Source organism: Homo sapiens, chromosome 17 (genome assembly GCF_000001405.40).
Source record: "Homo sapiens chromosome 17, GRCh38.p14 Primary Assembly".
NCBI classification, from domain to species: domain Eukaryota; kingdom Metazoa; phylum Chordata; class Mammalia; order Primates; family Hominidae; genus Homo; species Homo sapiens.
Genome location: NC_000017.11, coordinates 32,369,469 through 32,393,487, shown reverse-complemented (window position 1 = coordinate 32,393,487; position 24,019 = coordinate 32,369,469). Strand labels below are relative to the sequence as shown.

General features: G+C 38.9%; 1 protein-coding gene across 3 annotated transcripts in view; it reads right to left on the bottom strand.

The window, feature by feature from the left end:
• Window positions 1-11,602: 11,602 nt before the first annotated feature.
• Window positions 11,603-24,019, bottom strand: part of ZNF207 (zinc finger protein 207) — a 31,729-nt gene continuing 19,312 nt past the window's right edge. For all 3 annotated transcript variants that reach the window (NM_001098507.2, NM_001032293.3, NM_003457.4), the window contains one exon: window positions 11,603-23,889. In NM_001098507.2, coding sequence (NP_001091977.1) covers window positions 23,729-23,889 — 161 coding nt within the window. In that variant the 3' untranslated portion in view covers window positions 11,603-23,728. The remainder of the gene's footprint in view (window positions 23,890-24,019) is intronic.

Here is a 24,019-nt window from a genome sequence, read left to right as displayed (position 1 = left end):
TGCAGTGGTACAATCTTGGCTCACTGCAACCTTGACCTTCTGGGCTGAAGCCATCCTCCCACCTCAGCCTCCCCCATAGCTGGGACCATGGGCATGAACCACCATGCTACGCTAATTTTTTTGTATTTTTTAATAAAGATGGGTTTTCACCATGTTGCCCAGGCTGGTCTTGAACTCCTGAGCTCAAGTGATGCACCCATCTGAGTCTCCCCCAGTGCTGAGATGACAGGAGTGAGCCAACACACCCAGCCCAAATTCTTTTTTTTTTTAATTTTATCAATCTAAGTCTAAATCTAAACCAAATTATTTTCAATAGAGAATAAAGAATAAAAGCAGAAAGACTGAGTTAAAAAAAAACAAAGATTAAACCATAAGATACATTTTATGTACATTTCACTGGCAAAAAAATGTAAAACTGTGAGAAACCTAAATGTTGGAGAAGATATGGATCAATGAGAACTCCTTATACACTGCTGGTGGAGTATAACTTGATTAACTACTTTGGAAAAGAATTTGACATTTTCTTATGTTTATTATTTACATATTATCCAGCAATTTCACTCCTAGAAAAACCCTTTCACATATGCATCAGGAGACAGATAATAATAATTTTTACAGCAGCACTTTTCATAAAGCAAAAGACTGCAAATCCAAACATGCATCAAAAAGAGAGTGGATAAATTCTGGTACATCAGACAATGAAATACTATATAGTGGAAATGAATGCACTGCAGCCACAAAAAATAACATGAATGAATCTTAGTATAATTTTGTATTATTCCATTTTTTTTTTTCAGACAGATTATCGCTCTGTTCCCCATGCTGGAGTGCAGTGGTACGATCTTGGATCACTGCAACCTCTGCCTCCGGGTTCAAGCGATTCTCCTGGCTCAGCCTCCAGAGTACCGGGGATTACAGGCGCCTGCCCCCACACCCAGCTAATTTTTGTATTTTTAGTAGAGACAACATGAGGTTTCACCATGTTGGCCAGGCTGGTCTTGAACTCCTGACCTCAGGTAATCCTTCGGCCTCAGCCTCCCAAAGTGCTGGGATTACAGGCGTGAGCCACCTCGCCCAGAGCAATTTTTTTTTCTTTTTTTTTTTTTTTTAAGAGAGAGTCTCATGCCAGGTGAGGTGGCTCATGCCTGTAATCCCAGCACTTTGAGAGGCTGACAGGGCAGATCACGGGGTCAGGAGATCGAGACCATCCTGGCCAAAATGGTGAAACTCCGTCTCTATTAATAATATATATATATAAAAATTAGCTGGGAGCGGTGGCGCATGCCCGTAATCCCAGCTACTTGGGAGGCTGAGGCAGGAGAATCGCTTGAACCAGGGAGTCGGAGGTTGCAATGAACCAAGATTGCGCCACTGTACTCCAGCCTGGCAACAGACTGAGACTCCATAACAAAACAAAACAAAAAAAGACAGTCTCACTCTGTTCACCCAGGCTGGAGTGCAGCGGCGTGATCTTGGCTCACCGCAACCTTCGCCTCCCCGGTTCAAGCGATTCTTGTGCCTCAGCCTCCCGAGTAGCTGGGATTACAGGTGTGCACGAACACGCCCAGCTAATTTTTTTTTTTTTGTATTTTTAGTAGAGGTGGGGTTTCACCATGTTGTTGGCCAAGCTGGTCTTGAACTCCTGACCTAAGGTGATCCACCCACCTCGGCCTCCCAAAGTGCTGGGATTACAGGTGTTCCAGTGAGTAAACTGGAACAATTAAACTTAAATGAACACAATCTTCAATACATTTCAAACCTCTGAAGTTATGAGTATCACTTTTTTTCTTTCACATATTTAGATGTAGTCTGTCAGCAATAAAATTAAGGCAAATATATCAGCTGGGTTCACTTAAATTTTTAAAATTGTACCGGGTACCCTTTACCAATCTTCATTAACATCAAGAAAACATAAGTACACTAGTTGTGCTGGAGAGAAGGAAATTACAAGGAAGACATTGGGTTAAATCTAACAACTTATTAGTAAATGAGTTGAAGATGTAAAGTATAATATATAGGCAAATAAGAGTTTTCAGGAGGACAGTACATTCTTGAGAAAACCCTAATGCATGAAAATTTAAGAAAAAGTTCTAAGATGAAATGGGATTAATAGTTGTCTTTGGGCCGGGCATGGTGGCTCACGCCTGTAATCCCAGCACTTTGGAAGGCTGAGGCAGGCAGATCACGAGGTCAGGAGATCGAGACCATCCTGGCTAACACGATGAAACCCCGTCTCTACTAAAAATACAAAAAATCAGCTGGGCGTGGTGGCAGGTGCCTGTAGTCCCAGCTATTCTGTAGGCTGAGCCGGGACAATAGTGTGAACCCGGGAGGCAGAGCTTGCAGTGAGCCGAAATTGCGCCACTGCACTCCCGCCTGGGCAACAGAGCAAGACTCTGTCTCAAAATAAATAAATAAATAAATAAATAAATACATAAATACATAAATTAATAATAATTGTCTTTGGCCGGGCACAGTGGCTCATGCCTGTAATCCCAGCACTGTGGGAGGCTGAGGCAGATGGATCACGAGGCCAGGAGTTCAAGACCAGCCTGGCCAACATAGTGAAACCCCGTCTCTACTAAAAATATAAACATTTGCTGGGCATGGTGGCACACGCCTGTAGTTCCAGTTACTCAGGAGGCTGAGACAGGAGAATCACTTGAACCGGGGAGGTGGAGGTTGCAATGAGCCAAGATCATGCCACTGCACTCCAACTTGGGCAACAGAGTGAGACTTCGTCTCAAAAAAAAATTAAAAAAAAGAAACAATTGTCTTTGATGATTAAAATATTTTAGAAATCTGAATTACAAATCCGCAGTATAAAGATGAAAAATGTCACTTCAGTAAAAAGAAATAAAAATTGATTCATGTACATGAGTAAAAAAAAATAAAAATTAAGCCAGTCACGATGGCTCATGCCTGTAATCCCAGCACTTCGGGAGGGTGAGGCGGGTGGATCACAATGTCAGGAGTTCAAGACCAGCCTGGCCAAGATGGTGAAACCCCGTCTCTACTAAAAATACAAAAAAGTAGCCGGACTTGGTGGTGGGCGCCTGTAATCCCAGCTACTCGAGAGGCTGAGGCAGAGAATTGCTTGAACCCGGGAGGCGGAGGTTGCAGTGAGTCGAGATCGCACCTCTGCACTCCAGCCTGGGTGACAGAATGAGACTCCGTCTCAAAAAAAAAAAAATTAAAATTAAAATTAAAAGAAAAATGTCCCATCACCTTAGGATGCCTCTGTCCTCCACCTTTTTTTTTTCCCCCTATTTTGGCTGTCTCACTCTGTCGCCCAGGCTGAAGTTCAGTGGTGTGATCTCAGCTCACTACAGCCTCGACCTCCCAGGCTTAAGTGATCCTCTCATCCCAGCCTCCCAAGAAGCTGGAACTACAGATGCACACCATCATGCCCAGCTAATTTTTGTATTTTTTTTGTAGAGATGGAGTTTCGCCATGTTGCCCAAGCTGGTTTCAAACTCCTGAGCTCAAGCCATCCACCTGCCTGGGCCTCCCAATCTCCTCAACTTCTAAAAAGATTTTGAAGTAAACAAGACCAAAGAGTAAGAAACATATATAGCTAAGTTTACAAATAAGGAGAGAGAGAGAAAAAAAAGTTCTATTGGCAAATAAACAGTAGCCTAAAATGTTGCATTTACAAAGAACTAAGCATTTTGCTGTTTTTGAGTTACACATTTTTGTTTGAAACAGCGTCTTATTCTGTTGCCCAGGCTGGGGTACAGTGGTGTGAACACAGCTCATTTTAGCCTCCATCTCCCCGGGGTTAAGATGATCCTCCCACCTCAGCCTCTCAAGTACCTGGGACTACAGTTGCGCACCACCATGCCTTGCTCATTTTTAATTTTTTTTTTTTTTTTTTAGAGATGGGGTTTTGCCATGTTGGCCAGGCTGGTCTCAAACTCCTGGGCTCAAGCAATCCGCCTGCCTCGGCCTCCCAAAGTGCTGGGATCACATATATGAGCCAATGTGGCCAGGGTTACATGTTCTACTTTGCCATATCCTACAGGTATTACAAGCAAATCTTCTCCCTACAAAATGAGATTAGACTGATTAGACTAGATCTTTAAGGCAACTTCTGGTTCTAATTTCATACGGTTTTACAAAGACAGTAATTTTAAGTAGGTTTTAAAAATTCAACTCTTAGGCCCAGGTGTATGGCTCACACCTGTAATCCCAGCACTCTGGGAGGCTGAGAGAGGATTGCTTGAGTCCAGGAGGTCAAGGCTGCGGTGAGCTGTGATCACACCACTGCACTCCAGCCTGGGTGACAGAGCAAGACCCTGTCCAAAGAAATTTCAGTCTTCAAACCAGATGCAATCATTCTGATCCTAATATAAAACTTTTAACCCGTAAACCAAAATACAAGCTAAAAGTGTCTCCCTCTCTTGAGGGGGAGCTGGGAAGAACCAATTCAGGTGTCTTGGGTTTCCAGGACTAGGGTTTTTCCACTACTAGGGTAGCAAACAGGGATGTTTCTTACCAGAGCCTCATTCTAGAGGGAACATAACAAAGTGAGCCAGAGAAAGTCTTGTGCAAAGAGGCATTGCAAAACCAGCAATCTGGATAAAGATAGAAATAAACTTCCTGTAATCCCAGATGCTCAGGAGGCCGAGGCAGGAGAATCGTTTGAACCCGGGAGGTGGAGGTTACAGTGAGCCAAGATCATGCCACTGCACTCCATCCTGGGGGACAGAGGGAGACTCCATCTCAAAAAGCAAACAAAACAAAACTGAGGCTGCCTAGATGAGGTCAATAAAAAAGTGTCTGTACAGTAGTTCTCCCTTATCTGAGATTTGGCTTTCCATGGTTTCAGTTACCCATGGTCAGCTGCAGTCTGAAAACAGATGAGTACAGTATCATATTTTCAGAGAGAAAGAGAGACCACATTCACATAACTTTTATTACAGTATGTTGTTATAACTGTTCTATTATTTATTAGCTGTTGGTATCAGTCTATCTTATAAATTACATTGTATTAGGCCGGGTGCAGTGGTTCATGCGTGTAATCCCAGCACTTTGAGAGGCCGCGGCAGGCGGATCACGAAGTCAAGAGATCAAGACCATCCTGGCCAACATGGTGAAACCCCATCTCAACTAAAAATACAAAAATTAGCCAAGCGTGGTGGCACGTGCCTGTGTTCCCAGCTACGTGGGAGACTAAGGCAGGAGAACCGCTTGAACCTGGGAGATGTAGGTTGCAGTGAGCCGAGATCGCGTGACTGCACTCCAGCCTGGAGACAGAGCAAGACACTGTCTGGGAAAAAAAAAAAAAAAAAAGTATTACAGGGCTGGATGCGGTGGCTGACACCTATAATCCCAGAACTTTGGGAGGCTGAGGCTGGCAGATCACTTAAGCCCAGGAGTTCGAGACCAGCCTTGGCACCATGGCGAAATCTCATTTTTACTAAAAATACAAAAAATTAGCCAGGCATGGTGGTGTGTGCCTGTAATTTCAGCTCCTCAGGCGGCTGACGTGGATCATCTGAGCTGGGAAGTCAAGGCCACAGTGAGCTGTGAATAGGCCACTGCACTCCGGCCTGGGCCTGGATGATGGGTGTGAGACCCTGTCTCATTAAAAAAAAAAAAAAAAAAATTGTAGGTAATTTAGAGATGATTTAAAGTATATGGGAGGATGTGCATAGGTAATATCCACATACTATGTCATTTTCATATCAGGGACTTGAGAATCTGCAGATTTTAGTATCAAAGGGAAGTCCTGGAACCAGTCTTCAGATAACAAGGGACAAATCTAGTTCTTCCTGGGGACTGTAGCCGGGAGTAGAGCAGAAAACAATTTCTTTCGTTTAATCCACATTAGATTTTTATTTATATTTATTTTGAGACAAGAGTCTCACTCTGTCACCCAGGCTAGAGTGCAGTGGAGCGATCTGGGCTCAAAGAGATTCTCCCACTTCAGCCTCTGCACTAGCTGGGACCAGGTACGCACCACCATGCCCGGCTAATTTTTGTATTTTTTTAGTAAAGATGGGGTTTCACCATGTTGGTCAGGCTGGTCTTGGACTCCTGACCTCAAGTCATCCACCTGCCTCGGCCTCCCAAAGTGCTGGGATTACAGGAATGAGCCACCACGCCTGGCCTTAGATTTTTAAAAGTAACATGCAACACTTTAAACATAAAGAAAACGTACTTTTAAGAAAAGGAACAGTATGGACTTTGTACAAATTTCCAGAAAGCAGGTAAAAGATTATATACTCTTGGTAATTATGAACTACTGGAGTTAAATATTTTACCTTTTTGTCTCACCACTATTTACTGAGAAACTGAGGACTAAAGTATGCTTTGCCAACACCCTGACAGCTATCAGACATAGCTTTCTTTGATTTGAGGATGGCATCACAGAGATATACTTACTCAATGTAACAAACACTTACTGCCTACTAGGTGCCAAGCACTATGAATCATAGGTAAAATAACCTCTTTCAAACCCCACAGTAATAAACTTAGTCACCTATTATGACTATATTCAAGATAGGTCCCTCCCCATCCAAAAATGTTCATTGATTGTTCTGAAATTTTACTTTTGTGATCTCAGTCCCTTGGGATACTGCATTTCCCAAAAGCCCATCTAGGAACTGAAATATTGATGCCAAACACTAATTTATATAATTATATACACCGACAACCTGCAGCTCGATCACAATAGCCAATTACTGGTTCAACTGCACCAGTCTATTCAGTGGCTTGTTCCCCAACATCATACTCCATCATCTACCTCTTGTCCATCATCAAACCTTCCTCTCTGGGATTATCTTGCTTTCCTCCTGTTGATATAAATTTCTGCAAACATCAGCTTTCATCAAAAAAAATCCCACACTGGTGATCTACAAGAAAAACTGTCCTGCAGGTGTGATTAGCACAGTGTTTAAATTCTCTTTAAATAACTATGAGATCTAACTTCTCTAGAAAAAAACTGAAAGCTGGCCACTGTGGCCAGGCAATGCACCCAGCATGAGCCTCATTTGTAAGGGTCACGAGTTCCCCACTCCCCAATTGGCTTGTTTCACTCATTTCTATAACCTATCTGGTTCTCGTAGGTGTTTCAGTTTGCAATCACTGGTCTAGCCTACCTCTATTCCAAACTAAAGCTATTCTTTCGCCATTAATAAAACGAGAACCTTTTATTCTAGCAGACATGCCGCAGGAAAAGTTACTTTTCAAAAATCCTTCTAATCTTAAACAAATACAGATTTCATTGTTTTGTTTTAACAGCTCTGTCCAAGAGACCTTTGCTATTGTCAGAGGTTATTCTTTAGCCAATCACAAGTATCTGTTCTAAAGATCCTGCTCAAAAGGACAGCATGACTGAGTCAGGTTTAAACTGCACAATATTCAAATAAAGGCACATCTCTCTAAACCTTTAGTCTGTTTTGATGAAATAAATTAACCCTGCCAGGCATGGTGGCTCATGCCTATAATCCCAGCACTTTGGGAGGCCGAGGTGGGCAGATCATGAGGTCAGGAGTTCGAGACCAGCCTGACCAACATGGTGAAACCCCGTCTCTACTAAAAAATTACAAAAATTAGCCCAGCATGGTGGGGTTTACCTATAATCCCAGCTACTCGGGAGGCTGGGGCAGGAGAATCGCTTGAACCCAGGACGTGGAGGTTGCAGTGAGCCGAGACTGCGCCACTGCACTCTAGCCTGGGCAACAGGGTGAGACTCCATCTCAAAAACAAACAAACAATATAAAAATTAGCCAGATGTGGTGGTGTGCACCTGTAATCCCAGCTACTGAAGAGACTGAGGCAGGAGAATCGCTTTAACCTGGGAGGTGGAGGTTGTGGTGAGCCGAGATTGCGCCACTGCACTCCAGCCTGGGTGACAGCAAGACTCCATTTCAAAATAATAATAATAATAATAATAATAATAATAATAATAATAATAATAATAATAATAATAAATCCATTACTAGCAACTCAATTTAACCCAGCAATTACTAAGCGCCTCTTTTTAAGTGTCGTGCAACGTGCTAAGTTTTAGGAATGAAATGAACAAGACACAGTCCTGCGTCCGAGGTTGCAGTCCAGTATAAACACACAAATTGATGGTAAGTACATAATGCAATGAAAGCACATACGAAGGTCATCACAGAGGATCAGGGATTTGTAAGAGGGAATTAACTCTAAACTAGTATTTGGCAGATGTGAGGAAGTGGAAGTTACACAAGTCAAAGTACTAAGGGGCAGAGAGGGTGTTGAGAGTTTAAGCCAAGTACCAAGGGAGAACGGCAAGAAATTATTTTGGAAAGATAAGCAGGAGTCAGATTATTAAGGGTCTTTGAGCCAAGAGTTTTCAGAGGTAAAACCTGAGCCTCAGTCTTGACTCCTATTTTATCCAAATTTTATCCTAGGAAAAAGGAGTCATTAACAGAATGAGAAACGGGCCGGATGCGGTGGCTCACGCCTGTAATCCCAGCACTTTGGTAGGCCGAGGCGGGTGGATCTCAGGGTCAGGAGATCGAGACCCTCCTGGCTAACACGGTGAAACCCTGTCTCTACTAAACATACAAAAAATTAGCCAGGTGTGATGGCACACACCTGTAGTCCCAGCTACTCGAGAGCCTGAGGCAGGAGAACCGTTTGGACTCGGGAGGCGGAGGTGGCAGTGAGCCGAAATTGCGCCACTGCACTCCAGCCTGGGCCTCCCCCAAAAAAAAAAAAAAAAAAAAAAAAACAGAAACAAAAACAAAAACAGGATAGGAAGCTGAAGAAACACAAGAACGAACAAGGAGACCACTACAATGGCAAAAGTTGGATTCCAGAGCATAGCAAAAGAGGAGAGCTGTTAATGGATGCCTAGTACAATGTAATAAAAAAGGATGCAAATACAGATTTTATAGATATGGTAGGTTGAGGGCCTTGGCTTTTACCATCTTCATGAATCAGAAAGCCATCAGACAAACTGTTTATGGCATCGACGGATGAGGAAAAGCAGTGATGTGGAATAGCAAGGGGAATAAGTGAAAAGGGTGACTATCAATTGCTTCATAGCATCATGATCCTAGCAAATACTGAGACATATGGTTACACATTGCTCACTTCCATTGTACATGGTTATAATACATGCACAATGTATGAATATACATTGGTAGAGACTCAGAACCAGCTTTCAGGAAAGTTCCATGAAGAATTCAGAAAGAGGGGTGTTCTGTTACTACAAAATACAAGTTATGTGGTGATAACAAAGGTTTCTGAGCAGAACAATGTCCTATAATTGTGGGGAATAGTAAAAAATTAAGAAACTTAGTTTGTAAAGTGACCAAGAAGTACAATGGCCTCAGATATATAAGGCTTCCAAAACACTTTAAACTGGCCTTACTGAACATAAGATAGTTCTAGTTTCAACTCACCAAGTCAATAGCTGTCCGGCCCAGTTACAGTTTCTAAATTTTATTATTCCCTGTCACCCAGATGGTAGTGATATGGAAATATCCTGTGGTACCAGGAAATAGTGGCAGCCTATAATGATACCCTGGGTGCTTCTGAAGACACACTGGGTCCAAAACCACAGCCACTGCTCTAGTCGATGTTTTTTTGTTGTTGTTTTTTGAGACGGAGTCCCACTCCTTGTCCAGGCTGGAGTGCAGTGGCACGACCTTGGGTCACTGCAACCTCTGCCTTCCGGGTTCAAGCGATTCTCCTGCCTCAGCCTCCCGAGTAGCTGGGATTACAGGCACCTGCCACCACGCCCGGCTAACTTTTGTATTTTTAGTAGAGACAGGGTTTCACCACGTTGGCCAGGCTGGTTCTGAACTCCTGACCTTGTAATCTGCCCACCTAAGCCTCTTAAAGTGCTGGGATTACAGGTGTGAGCCACCACACCCAGGCAGTTAATGTTGTTTTTATGCCAAGAATCCCAAGACACCCCAACTCCTAGAGAAAATGTATATGCCTAATGTGGTATTCAAGGAACTTTACACTTTAGACTCCAATGACCTCATTCTTTAGAACTTTCCTTCATAAGCCTCATACTGTTGGGTTTTCCCATCTCTTTTCTAACACGTTTTTTTCCAATTTGCCCAAATCCTAACAATCCAAGACCTACTTCAAATGCCACCATCCTGAGATCACATAGATGGAATTTGCTTTCTCCAAATTTTACGTCCTTTGAGGGCATTTTCACTTTGTTACTGATGTATCCTTCTTAGACTCTTGAAGAAACTTATTTTTTGCCTCTCAATGTCTTACTCGATCTCCAACAAACATTTCCTAAATAAGTCTTACAGATTAGGTGGAGCCTAAACAGCGTCCAAACAAATAAATAACAAAAACAAAAAAAAACAAAAAATCCCCCAAACCAACCCACTGTATTTCCAATGTTTCCTTTTTGAGTTGGGGGTCTCACTGTTGCCCGGGCACCAGCGAGTGCAGTGGCACCATCATGGTTCACTGCAGCCTTGAACTCATGGCCTGACGCAATCCTCCCAACTCAGCCTCAGTTGCTGAGTTTACAGGCATAAGTCACTGTACCCAGCATCAATATTTTGCTTTTTGCCTTTTCCTGTGTTTCACACATTCAAGGTTAGCATCTTCTAACTTCTCCCATGACTATTCAGTAAGTCATTACATCAGTTACTCTTGAGATGTTTGGGGCCAGGTTCTTCTTGCCTTCTAACTGATCCTCATACTGCCCACCAACCCACCCTGCCCCACTGCCAACCAACTTAGGATAATCTGTTAATCATAAACCATGTATTACTCACCAGCTCCAAGTTCTTCAAAAGATTTCCATTAGAATGACATTCAAACCATGGTCCATTGTGAGACTTGGCCTCTCTCTCTCTCCCATCTCCACTCACCTTACATGCACACGCACCCATCCCACCCACCATTCAAACCTCATTTTTTGTTCAAGATGTTATGTTTCCCATCTCATGGTTTCTGCACACCTACTACCCAAAACACTGTTACTCAATGAGACTTTGTGCAAAGGCTGGCTTCTTAAATCCTCAGTTCCAAAGTCTCTACTCAGATGCACTTCCTCTCTACTATGTACAAAGGATAATATCAAAGCACACTGTGGGCATTCATATATATGTGCTAAATGAAATTTTTTGATTTGCAATAACTGTCTGCTCCCACCATTGCCTGTGGTCTAACAAGGTTAGCACAAATGTATAGTGTGTTAGTTCTTTCAAGTAAACATACAGAAAATACTGAGCACTTACAAAGTTGCCAGGCCAAATTCTTCTACACATATTTACTTGTTTCTCACAAACCTATGAAACTTATAACTACCATTTGAAAAGTAATTTGTTCCAGGTCATATAACTAATAAATAATAGAAAAGCAAGGATTTGGTTGCAAGATCTAGTTTTATGCTCACTCTAAATCACTGTTTCTTCTGGCTCATCTACCTACCCAACTATCACATACAAAATATGCACACTAAGCGTGCTCTTTTACCCCTTTTCCCCGTAGACATTCTGTATTTAATAATTATTCCTTACAGTTCCCAGGATACAACAAAAACTGCTCAGGACAACTGATGCATATCATAATACCTTATTAATATATAACTGTTCTGGATACAAATTTAAAAAATGGGCTCAGACAAGTATCATAAATAATAAATGAAAGATTTTATTCATCTTTGTAGATAACAAGCACTCAAAGGTTAATGAGTGAAGGAGATAACCATCTCCTCCAAACAAAGAGGCTCTTAATAACGCAGAAGCAAAAATCTTTCCACTTTTAGATGAAAACAAACTAAAAAATAACTTCAGGCTTCAGATATGGAAATAAAGCACCATTTTTCAAATGGTAGACTTGGCTTACTTAAAATAAGTAAATAGCCCCAGACTATCTGAAAAAGAAAAACATTTCAATGCCCCTTGTGAGTTCTAATTACATGGCTACATGTTAAGGAACATCTCAGATCTCTCTCTGAACCTACTAGTAAACAAAAATTATACAGATATATATACAAATGTAGTCTTCCATTTCATTTTTCATTTGCACAAGCTTCCAGCTATTTAACCAGGTGACAAATCAAAGTGACAAGATGCACTAATATTCGTGAGAACTTTAAATTTTAAAAGCTAGTATTTAATTACCCTTAGTGAGCTCATTTACTTACATTAAAAATTATGCGATCAGTCATGATTTTTCTTTAGACCATTTAATAATACACATGGACTAACATTTATCATGCTTTGTTCAGGACCTCCTTACAATCATATCCCTTGTATGACTTACTCTTCACATAATCCCTTGCCAGTAAAAGTGAAGACCGAAGATTGACCTGACAGACAGGTCCCTTTACTAACCTTTGCAATCTTGTACCACTTCATAAAATAATGCTTACTCTAAACCACTACAGACTAGTTTGGAAATAAATGGACCTTTTCCTCAGAAATAATCAATCTTTCCTGGTGTAGTAATTGAACACTTGACTTTAACCTTCATTTATTATCACTTTATTATTAATAGAACATCCCAGGGAATAGACTCCCAAATCTTATCACTTTTTCTTTTTTTCTTTTTTTTTTTGAGACGGAGTCTCGCTCTGTCACCCAAGCTGGAGTGCAACGGCGCCATCTCGGCTCACTGCAACCTCCTCCCCCTGGGTTCAAGCGATTTTCCTGCCTCAGCCTCCAGAGTAGCTGGGGTTACAGGCACGTCCCACCACACCCGGCTGATTTTTGTATTTTTAGTAGAGACGGGGTTTCACTATGTTGGCCAGGCTGGTCTCAAACTCCTGACCTCAGGAGATCCACCCGCCTCAGCTGGGCCCAGCCCCTTTTCTCTCAATTTAAAAACTGCTTTAAAAACTGCAAATCAAGTATTGGGTTAATACCACTTTACTATTATTAACTGATTCCTCTAATATTCCAGAAAGAGCACAAGATTTTTTCCATTTTTGATAGCTGCCTATTGTCAGTTTTAACTGGAGCTGAAAAACAGAAGACTTAAATAAACTGAAAGCCATCATCGAGTTTTAAAAAGGGACACTGAAATAATCCTTCTTGAAGATATTTTCTTTAACAGCCACTTATTTCTACCCTGCAAAAAGCTTGAAATATAAAATTAGTATTTAAAGCACCATACAAAATAAAAAAACCAGACAAAGGAGTAAGGTATGTTCCAATTTAATCTTTATGCAGGCAAATTTGTAAAAAATGTTAATCACATCTACATGAAGTCGCAAAAGAGATGCAATAATTATTGCTCACTTTTAAACATTACCTTATATTACGGAAATTTGGCTACTTACTCTCATCACTATTACATGCACTTCAAGTTAAATACTTACCAAATTTTCACTGTTTATTCCTGCTAGGAAAGGACACAGTTCCTTAGAAATTTACTTCACTTTAAATCTTAAAGACATAAATTGAGGGTCCATACTTTGTTTAGTGCTTATCTAGAAGAATGCATTGCCACATCACATACTCAGGTATTGATTTTCAGATTTTAGAAAACTATCATTGTTCATACTAAAAAGCATCACAGTTGACTGTTTATTATTGGTTCAGAAAGATCACAGGAGGAAACAGAATGTAAAAACATTCTTAGCATATGCTGGTTTTAATCTAGGATATAGTTAAAAACTAGAGGGAAAAAATAATCCATGTGTTACATATAGCGAGGCTAAATAAAGCAGGGCATAAATTAGAAATTTACTCAGAAGCTAATTTTCACTGGTATACGTGGTCTCAGAAATCAGTATTTCTAACTCCAATTTTTCATGCAGGGTTAGAGTGGCTTAAATAATACTTTTGAAATTTTTAAGCCTCTCAAAGAAACCCTGTAAGCAACTAGTCTGCAGGAAGAATTTTGGTAAACCCTTCTTCCACTCTAACTCCAGCTTACTGCTCATGAATCACCACAACAACAGCTTCAACAAGAACAGAATGAAGTTCTGGTATCTTAATTTTACACCTATGCAATGTCTCCAAAGCACTAAGAAAAATCTTTTGGCTGCCAACTAAAAAAAATGTTTAAGAACTTTCTTAAATACTAATTTTAAACATTTATTCCATCTCACCAAAATGAAATAATTTATGTGTTCAAAGTTTTTGTATTTATAGTCTGTTAAGTGAAGGTCAGAAAAAAGTGAACTAGCAAATTAAAAGGGAAATGCCAGGTGGTAAAATAATTTTCTAATATTCTTGATTCAAGTAATATCCAAAGATGTAGAAATTCAGAGTGCTCACCTCTTTAATCAAAGTGTCCTATTTCAGTTAATTTTAGAAGATAAAATTATAATATATAAAAGTATAAAACAGTACTCACCAGAAAGGCAGCTTTAAAGAGATGGTTTTAAGGAAAACCATTTCCACTGTATCTACACCATTTCATATACAGATTAAACTGTGAAAGGCAATGAAACTTAAGCCCTTGTGCAATTTTACATTAAAAAACAAGTGGTTATCTTGTAAGATATATTTTATTATCAGTTGATAAATCCATGTTTTAAAATTTAGCAATATGCACAATTTCCATATAATCTGTTTTCACAATGGCTAATCACCATCCAGCTCAAGAGGAATTCAAGATTACTAGTTTTATGGCTAGATCGTCTCAAATTAAACATCACACAAGGTGAAAAGGAAGAAGCCATACATCCTACTATCAGATTAGGATGGTTCAGGCTTGCGAAAATTAGAAATTAACTTGTATGCTTTATTCCTCCCTCCTCAGTGCTTTACATTTGTTATCAACCTAAAAGCACAACATTTAGAGGTTAAAGGAAATCTTTAGAGGATGGTTCAAACAACAATGAACTCGGGTAGAATAAAAAAAAAATAAAAATGTTAAAACACATTTTCCACAACCCATTATGTCCCCACTGCCCCTCAAAAGTGTTACATAAAGAATCTAGCTACATTTCTTGATGAGTAGTCAACTTTCAGTATTAAAAAGGTATGTTATTCTTAGTTTACAGTAAAATGAACTCACTGGTACACCAACGGGATACGTTATAGTTTACAAAAAAAGAACAAAAATAGAGGAGTACTTGTATTTACAAGTGTTGCTAAAAGAACAAAAAAGCATTATAAAAACATATTCTAGCTTATGACTGTACACCATTTATCATTTCTAGATGTGAGGAAACTTGCCTTTTTTCTTAGGTTGATTCATAATGTAAAAAGTTAAAAGGTGAATGAGAGAACCACCATGAAATAGCTTAAGTAAAAGACCCTGGACCCAAAGCCCTGGACTCCATATCATCTATCAACAAGGGCATAGCCAACTGAAACTGTCTTTTCCTTTTATGTACAATGTATCTACTTAGGTTGAACCACAAGGAGATAACAAAGGAGCAGTATTACACCTTTATTACAACTGGGGTTAGCAAACCTAGATCTACTTTGGCCCAAGTACTGAGTGTTTAAAGTGTCCAATGGATCTATTATTAGTTATACTAACATTTAAGTAACCGCACAGCTTTCTTCCTTGTGTGAGTTATATGGATATGTTTGAAAAAAATAGGAACATCAGGTACTTACAGATTAAACTAACCTGTACTGGCAGGGCTGTGGGATTTTTCTTCTCTACCAGTAAGTAGCAAATGCTGAAATTCTGCTGCTAGTTAACAAAAACACAAATTGTATTAAACTGAGGAGTTCAATCCATAGTTTAAAAAGTCAATGTGCATTAAATTTCCTCAGAGCCTGATACTAATACATTTAAAACTTTTCCCTAGTTTTTTTTTTTTTTAAACAGAAGTTACCTTATATTGGCTATTTAGAATGAGCTAATTAACATTGAAAATCTCTTGGACACATCTCAATTTTACTATGTATTCCAGTATGTGAACTGTGATAGAAATTTTGATTACTCTAAAAAGGGGATGGGCATATATCTTAAACATGTGGGAATTTCTAAATTTAAACGAATATGTAGACATACCCCCAAAGACAAGCAATTTTTAAAAGTTTTTAATTCAACTTTTGTAAAAATTGATTTTGTCACATCAGAGATTCTCAATTTTAAAAACATGTACTGAGAAGCAAATTCTATTGTTTCTCTTTGAATAAGCGAACAGGTAAAAGGGGGCTTTGCTCAATAACTAGATGCTCTGTATTTTTTCTAACTCAGACTTACAGTAACTGTAGTAACTCTTCCCTTGCTCCACTTGGGTACTTAAGCAGCCTCATTTTATTAGTAAAGACTCGGATATGATGGTGCAAATCTTTTTTTTTTCACCTCTGTGACTGCTAAACTATTTATGAATAAAATTTTAATAAGAAGCTACATTAAAATACTATGGTGAGACCTCACTAACAAATGCAAATCATGAGCAAGAATGCCATTACTTTTCAATATATTTAAGGTTCTTAAGTCAAACAATACTACCCAGTGTTCTCTCCCAAATAATCACTATTGGTCCATGTGTAGTAAACTGGGAAAATATCATTCTTCATTTTTATCCAAGTTGGCCATCAATGAATTTCACTGTTAGTTCCTCAGACTTAACCAATGGTGAAGGAACACAGATTCCACCATAATAGTAAAATGCAAACCAACCAACCCAGACACTAACAATGTCAGAGGGCTTAGAAAATGCCAATAAAGTACTTCACCTTTTTACAAACACAGCACACATTACTGAAGCTGTGCCAGATTACTACCTTATAGACCATTACATCATTTAGAATTAATGGGTGGGTTCCAAGTAATCAACCATTAAGACAGTTTACTCACATGTACCTCCTCTGAGGTTATTTTGATAAAAATTAAAACATAAACATAAACATTCTCATAACGGATTGTATGCCTCTTAAAGAACCTAACCATCAAAGTTTCCATCTAATTAGCCAGTCTAGATTTATAATAGTGTTCAATTTGCTTCAAATAGGAATAGTTCAAATTAGTTTCAGCGAAGACCTACCTTGTTTGGGCTACAAATTTCTGCCTCAATATGACTACTACTTCCGCTTAGTAAAATAAAGACATTTTCCCCTGAGAATACATGAGACTAACTGAACAGATTTAAAGAGAGATGATTCAGATTTCTCAAACTAATTTAGTTCCAAACTATTATTTTCCAGAGTTAAGAAAATGAAAAGCTTTTCAAGACTAAAATATTATGCAAAAATGTATAGAGCCAAGAGCAAGAAAAATATACTTATTAAAAGCAATTATCTTACTGAAGAATTTTTTTAATGTTACTTTAAAACGTAATCTATTTTCTAACAAAAATGCCAGGTAAAAAAATAAAGATAGATGTTTTAGGGCTTAAACACTTGGAAAAGGTGGATATATTTAAAGTTATTGGGAAGCGCAAACTGAAGTCCTACTTTCTCCATTTCCTACATATTGGTTTGAATTAGATCCATAATAGGGTGCCTAAGAGCTTAAGATAGTAGTTTAGAAAACTCAGCACTAATCACAAAATTAATGAATATCCATTATGTACATGACCATACATCAAGTGCTTATTTTGCCAAGAAACATCACACAGAAAAGTCAGATGATTTCTTTGCTATAAAAACAAAAGGTTATTATTTAAATGATTCAATGACAGAAATTAAAATACTGAGAAAGGGTTTCTAAAAAGGAGTAAACTTTACTGTCATGAGACAGTTAGCATAAGTGGAATTGGGGGAATGTTTACTTATAAAAATCTGCCCTATAGTCAAATAGCCTTATAATTGAATCCCCTTTTAAAGGACTTTTACATAAAAGTTACAATGAAGAGCAAACAAATTTCAATTTGGAATAACGCAGAAAGATTACTCAATATTAGGTCAATAATGACAACCTTTTAAAAAAGACATTCATGTCTGTATAATTTTAGAGTATCTACTTCTAGGGTACATGTCTATTTTCATCAGCTTATTCAAACAAAATTTTGACTCAGTTAAAGTGGTGACTTCACAATTTTCTTTCATTTGCCAAGTTTTACTAGTGGATGTTACAGACACCTAAAAACTACATAATTCTCAAAATCTTATTTGTCTGAGTCACAGAACTACAAAAAAAAAGGAACTATCTTAGTTATCTATAGATATTACCTTCAACAGATTATGACATTACTAAATCCTTCCCACCCCCAGTACTCAACCAGATAAGAGCCTGTATTTCCAGCACACTTTTTTCAATTATCACCATTAGAATTAAGATAAGCAACTTAGAAAGATTTCAGCATATTGCAGGATGGTAGGTAATAGAGAAAACAGATCTCCAATTAAGGACTCTTAAATGTTGATTACTGAGGTTATAAAATAGTCCAATGGGATATTTTGTCATGGAAGCAACAAAATTCTTTAAATATTAAAATCCTATTAGTTATAGTGAAAAACATGTTATTTAACAAGTCAAAATTTACAATTCATTTAATGCATATTTTTTCTTTATGCTTCCAAGAATGAAAACCATATACAAACAATTCCAGGTTTGCTAAATGCTATACTGCTTGTTCATTGTTACTGCTCAGAGTAAACTGCTATCTGGATAGAATCGTGGCTCAAACACAAGAAACAAAAGTAATTCAGGTTTGTTTTTGGCCTCTCTTCCAATTCCCTAATTATTCCCTACAACAAACACACGCACACAACTTTTCTCACCAAATAAAAGCAAATTTTAGTTGGAAACAAATGTGGATACTTTTCACATGTGCGTAAAACACTGTTCAGTGAGGCTGAAAATGAACCTCAAAATAATCACTCCAAAACCATAGTTTAACATACTTTACCACAGGATCAGGTATCAAATTTCAGTTTCGATACCTGAAAATTAGTAATCCATCCATGCTGAAAGGTCTGTAACACCCAAATTCTGTTGTTATATCAACTATATGGTCTATACCCCCACATACACAAGCACACACATAGACACCACCTTCCCACCTTTACAGGGCTCTACATTAACATTTGCTCTAATGTGGTGAGGCTTGAAAATATTTTAAAATTAAGCATTTCCAGATGACCTTTTAGCCTTAACATTCAATGCGTAAGTTTGTGATTAAGAATGCAGATTTTGGCCAAGCGCGGTGGCCCACGCCTGTAATCCCAGCACTTTGGGAGGCCGAGGCAGGGGGATCGCAAAGTCAGGAGATCGAGACCATCCTGGCTAACACGGTGAAACCCCGTCTCTACTAAAAATACAAAAAATTAGCCGGGTGTGGTGGCAAGCACCTGTAGTCCCAGCTACTCGGGAGGCTGAGACAGGAGAATCGCTTGAATCCAGGAGGTGGAGGTTGTAGTGAGCTGAGATCGTGCTACTGCACTCTGGCCTGGGTGACACAGCGAGACAGTCTCAAAAAAAAAAAAAAAAAAAAAAAAAGAATGCAGATTTTGGCCAGGCGCGGTGGCTCACACCTGCTACTCCAGCACTCTGGGAGGCTGAGATGGGTGGATCACCTGAGGTCAGGAGTTTGAGACCAGCCTGGCCAACACGGCAAAACCCCATCCCTACTGAAAAATATTGAAAAAATAGCCAGATGTGGTGGCGGGAGCCTATAATCCCAGCTACTCGGGAGGCTGAGGCAGGAGAATCACTTGAATCCGGGAGGCAGAGGTTGCAGTGAACCGAGATCGCACCACTGCACTCCATCCTGGGTGATAAGAGTGAAACTCCGTCTCAAAAAAGAGAAGGCACATTTCAGTATCCAGTGGCATTTCCAATGATTAAACTTATCCTTGAGGTTAAATTTAATAGTTTATGGAGAAAATAAAACCAGTAAGATTTTCCTAGAAGTGAAAGTAAAAAACTTGAATGAAACATTTCTTGCCTCCAATCAAAAATATCAAATTTTGTCAATTTATTGAAGTTCAATATAGGAACACAAGCTTTACTGAAGCTGTTAATTATGTAACACACAGCAAATTACATAAAATTGCATATGAAATACTTATGTTTATTAACACCACAGTCAAACGTGAATATTAATATAGAGCCTTCTCTGCCAAAAGAGTATAAAAATCCTAAGTTTAATTAAATTTAGGGGCCTTCACCAAACTTGCTGCAAGTTTGGGGACATAAATATCCAACAGCCATAAAGCTGTGAAAGCCCCTATAAGGAATAAAATAAATCCCACTTGCCTCAGACTGAACAGGGCAACACTGAGACTCAGCCTCAGCCTGTCCTATGGCAGGGCTATAGGAAGAAGAAAATTTTAATTTTAGAAAAACAGTTCCCAATTAATTTAAAAGACATGCATTAAAATTTTTTTTTTTAAAAATCCCAATGATCAAGCAAGCAAAAGGAGCAGCTTTGTTTTTAACTATTGTCCACTACAATTCCACTCTGAGCCCGTACTTCTTTTTGTTGGGGAATCCCCCTCCCCAATTAATTAAGTTTAATTAAGGTGAGTCTAAGTTCAAAATGTAACTTAGTGGAATAGGAGTACAGTAGGAATATTTTATTCATACCTAATGGCAAATGTGTGAGACACTACTAAAATACTAAGTATTCAAATCAAGTAATTCCAGCAGCCACTCAAAAATTAATCCTTACCTGCTGTGGTCTTGTTAAACAGTATGAAAACTTATACAACAGAAACTAGTGCCAGACAAAATGTTTTCTTGTTTTTCTAAAAGGGGTGGATGTAAGGTAGAGCCAAAGTTGCCAGCCCTACTAACCTTACAGCTTCCTTAATTATGACAATCACAATGCCTGCCTGAATTATCAAGTCCCAAAAGTTGTCTTCTGTGAGGGCAGTTGGCATCCACTTTGACTCAACTTCATCTACTACTTAAGGAAGGTTGAGTCAGAGTTAATTATATGAATATAATTTGCTCCACTCATAATTCAACCACACTATGGACCCCAGAAGCATTTAGAAAAAAGGTATTTTCTAGAAGCTTAATTACGTTTGGATGCATGCAAAAATTACACTTCAAATATATTAAATGGGTACACCACCTCTGAGCCTATAGCTACAAACTCAGGAACTCATGAGCTTAAGTTTTATCTGCCAATGCCTAACACTTTCAATTAATTTTTAATTAGAATTCTATCCCATATTTAAAAGTTCCATTTTTGCCCATCAGACCTATACAGAGAGCAAAAAACCTTGCTACAAAGTATCAACCTTCTTTGCATAAAATGCAAATAAAGCTTCACATAATTTCTGAAACAGGTCTACTAACCCTATTGCAGTTTGTCAATAACCGTATACATGAAATTCCTGAGAATTTGGGAGAGCACCCCTTACTTAATTATTCTAAATTTAATCACAGCATTTTTTTTTTTTGAGACGGAGTCTCAATCTGTCGTCCAGGCTAGAGTGCAGTGGTGTGATCTCCGCTCACTGCAAGCTATGCCTCCCGGGTTCACGCCATTCTCCTGCCTCGGTCTCCAGAGTAGTTGGGACTACAGGCATCCGCAACTACGCCCAGCTAATTTTTTGTATTTTTAGTAGAAACGGGGTTTCACCGTGTTAGCCAGGATGGTCTCCATCTCCTGACCTCATGATCCACCCGCCTGGGCCTCCCAAAGTGCTGGGATTACAGGCGTGAGCCACTGCGCCCGGCCTATCACACCATTTTTATCTTAAAGACTTTCAACACAAGTTTTCCTTCAGCAGTATATTAAGTGTGCTGCCAAATCAAAGCAGCATGTATTAATTTTGAAACCATTTAGGTAAGCAGAGGTTCAGAGGGGAAAGTGGTTTGGGACTTGGCTGCTGGCAGAAAGAAATACATTACTGGCAAAATACCTGTTTTATTTTCAAACTATGAAAATTTTTGTACCACTATGGTACCACAAGCACAGGAGCCAAAATCATTGAAGCCAGATAATCAGATATTTTAATTTATTTTTTGACAGAGTCTCGCTCTGTTGCCCAGGCTGGAGTGAACATAGCTCACCGCAGCCTCGGAAGGAGGAAGAACCTCCTTCCTCAGCCTCTTGAGCAGCTGGGACCACAGACACACACTAACGCGCCTGGCTAATTTTTAAATGTTTTGTACAGATGGGGTTTTGCCATGTTGGCCAGGCTGGTCTCAAACTCCTGGACTCAAGCAATCCTCCCATCTCAGCCTTCCAGAGGGCTGGGATTACAGGCGTGAGCCACTGCACCCAGCCAATGTGAGTTAAAATAGCATTCAGCTTTATAATACTTGCAATGTTTTGCTTAAAGGTATGACTTTCATCTGTCACATAAATACGAACTCTTTTGTGATGGCTAAATCACTTTTCAATATATTTTCCTTCAAAGTTAAAGCCCTTTTTTCCATACAACTTCAGACTTCATGTGTTTTATCTATACCTTCACAGGAAAGTTATAAAGAAATGTTACCATTTTCTTAGAAGTCTTAACTTTATAATGAGAAAAACTCAACTTGAGTTCATTATATTAATACTTTGCATAGGTTATTTGATGCCTAAAAAATCATAAAACTACCCTGCAAAAGATCAGAAAAACAGATCCCAAAAAGGTCAACAAGAGCTATTATTTTAAGAGGTTGCAACACAAAATATTGAATAGCAGTCATCTCTACAGAAAAGCTCTCTGTAAGAACACAACATTCAAAATTTCCAAGGATAAATAAAAAGTTGCACAGTAAGGCTACCTAGGCTTAATAACAGAAGGTACTCAAATGAATAATGTAATCTTCCAGGAACATAATAAAAATTGCCAATTCATCTGTTAACCATCCCAACAGAGACACATTTAGATTCTCAGCATTACACTTAGAATAATATATAATAACCCATTAACAGCACAAGAAGCTATTACTGCATGCACCTAAGCTTCTAGAAGTTTGCACCTGAAAAGCTTCTGAGGTCCATGCAGTACTGAGTCTCAAAAATAATCAAAAGGAAATGAATGGGTCTGGCACTAGGCTCTAAACATCTCAGCAGGAAGGAAAAGTGTTAACATTTACATTTTAAGTATCTATGACACGTGATGTGTACTGACACCATAGAGGGTGGAAGGGTGATTATAAAGATTTCATACCCATTATGTAATGACTCATGTATCTTAAGTTTTTCTCTTAACTGAAACATTAACATACAACTCTATGCAAATTCAGTTTAAAACATGCAGCTAAGAAATAACCTACAACTCAAAGACAGAATCCAATGATATATCAAAACTGCATTGGTAACTATGAATTTTATTATGTGGACATCTACTGTGGCATGCATCTGTACAAACCTTTCAGGCAGTGGTCCACAGCTGGGTTATGAATAAAAAGGCATAAATTTTTCTCTCATTTTATTACAATGAAGTTTAACAGTACAGAAAAGTCACATGACCTTGGTGGGTCAGATTTCTTAAACCCTGCAACATGAGGAACTCTAAATACATTAAATATTGTTACACATTCAGACTTCCAATGTACAAGTACTTGGAAACAGTTACAGCCCTCACCAAGCTAGGTTGGGGACATGAAGTCCAACAGCATCTGAAATGCTGTGAAGGCAAACTTTACAAATAGCAATGTAAGCTTACAGAACTTGCCTTTACTAGGGTGGTATGTTCATGTAATTCCAGCGCCTTCACAATTTAACGAACCAAATTTACTATACTTCACTTCTAAAAACCTAGATGAAACATGAAAAAGAAGCCATACAGTATAAATTGCAACTTCAGGAAAAGTTCCTGCTTTATTATTCCAAATAATTTTTCCCATGTAAAATAAATGTCCAATAGTTCCTGGTATGTGGGAAGATAATGTTTGTTAAAGTCACAATGAAGCCTTATTGACGGAAGCTTGGCTATATAAACAGCACAAGTTGAGAAAAGGTTTAATCTCCAAACCTATTAGACTGGATGAAGTAAGATCAGTAACGGCCACCTTGCGACATTACAGGAGGTCTCATTCCCATCGGAGGTCGAGGAGGCCCACCCTGGTAAGGGGGCACCATTGGCGGTCCCTGCCCATACGGGGGCATAGCACCAGGAAGGTATCCTGGCATGCCTTGATGATGACCACCATACTGACCTAAAATCAAGAATTTCAAACACAAAAAAATAGATTGTTAACGCATTGTACTTTTAAGTGCAACGTATGCTGCAGATAAATTTAATATTTTATGCGTGAACTTAGAAAATCCACTAAATATGAAAAACAT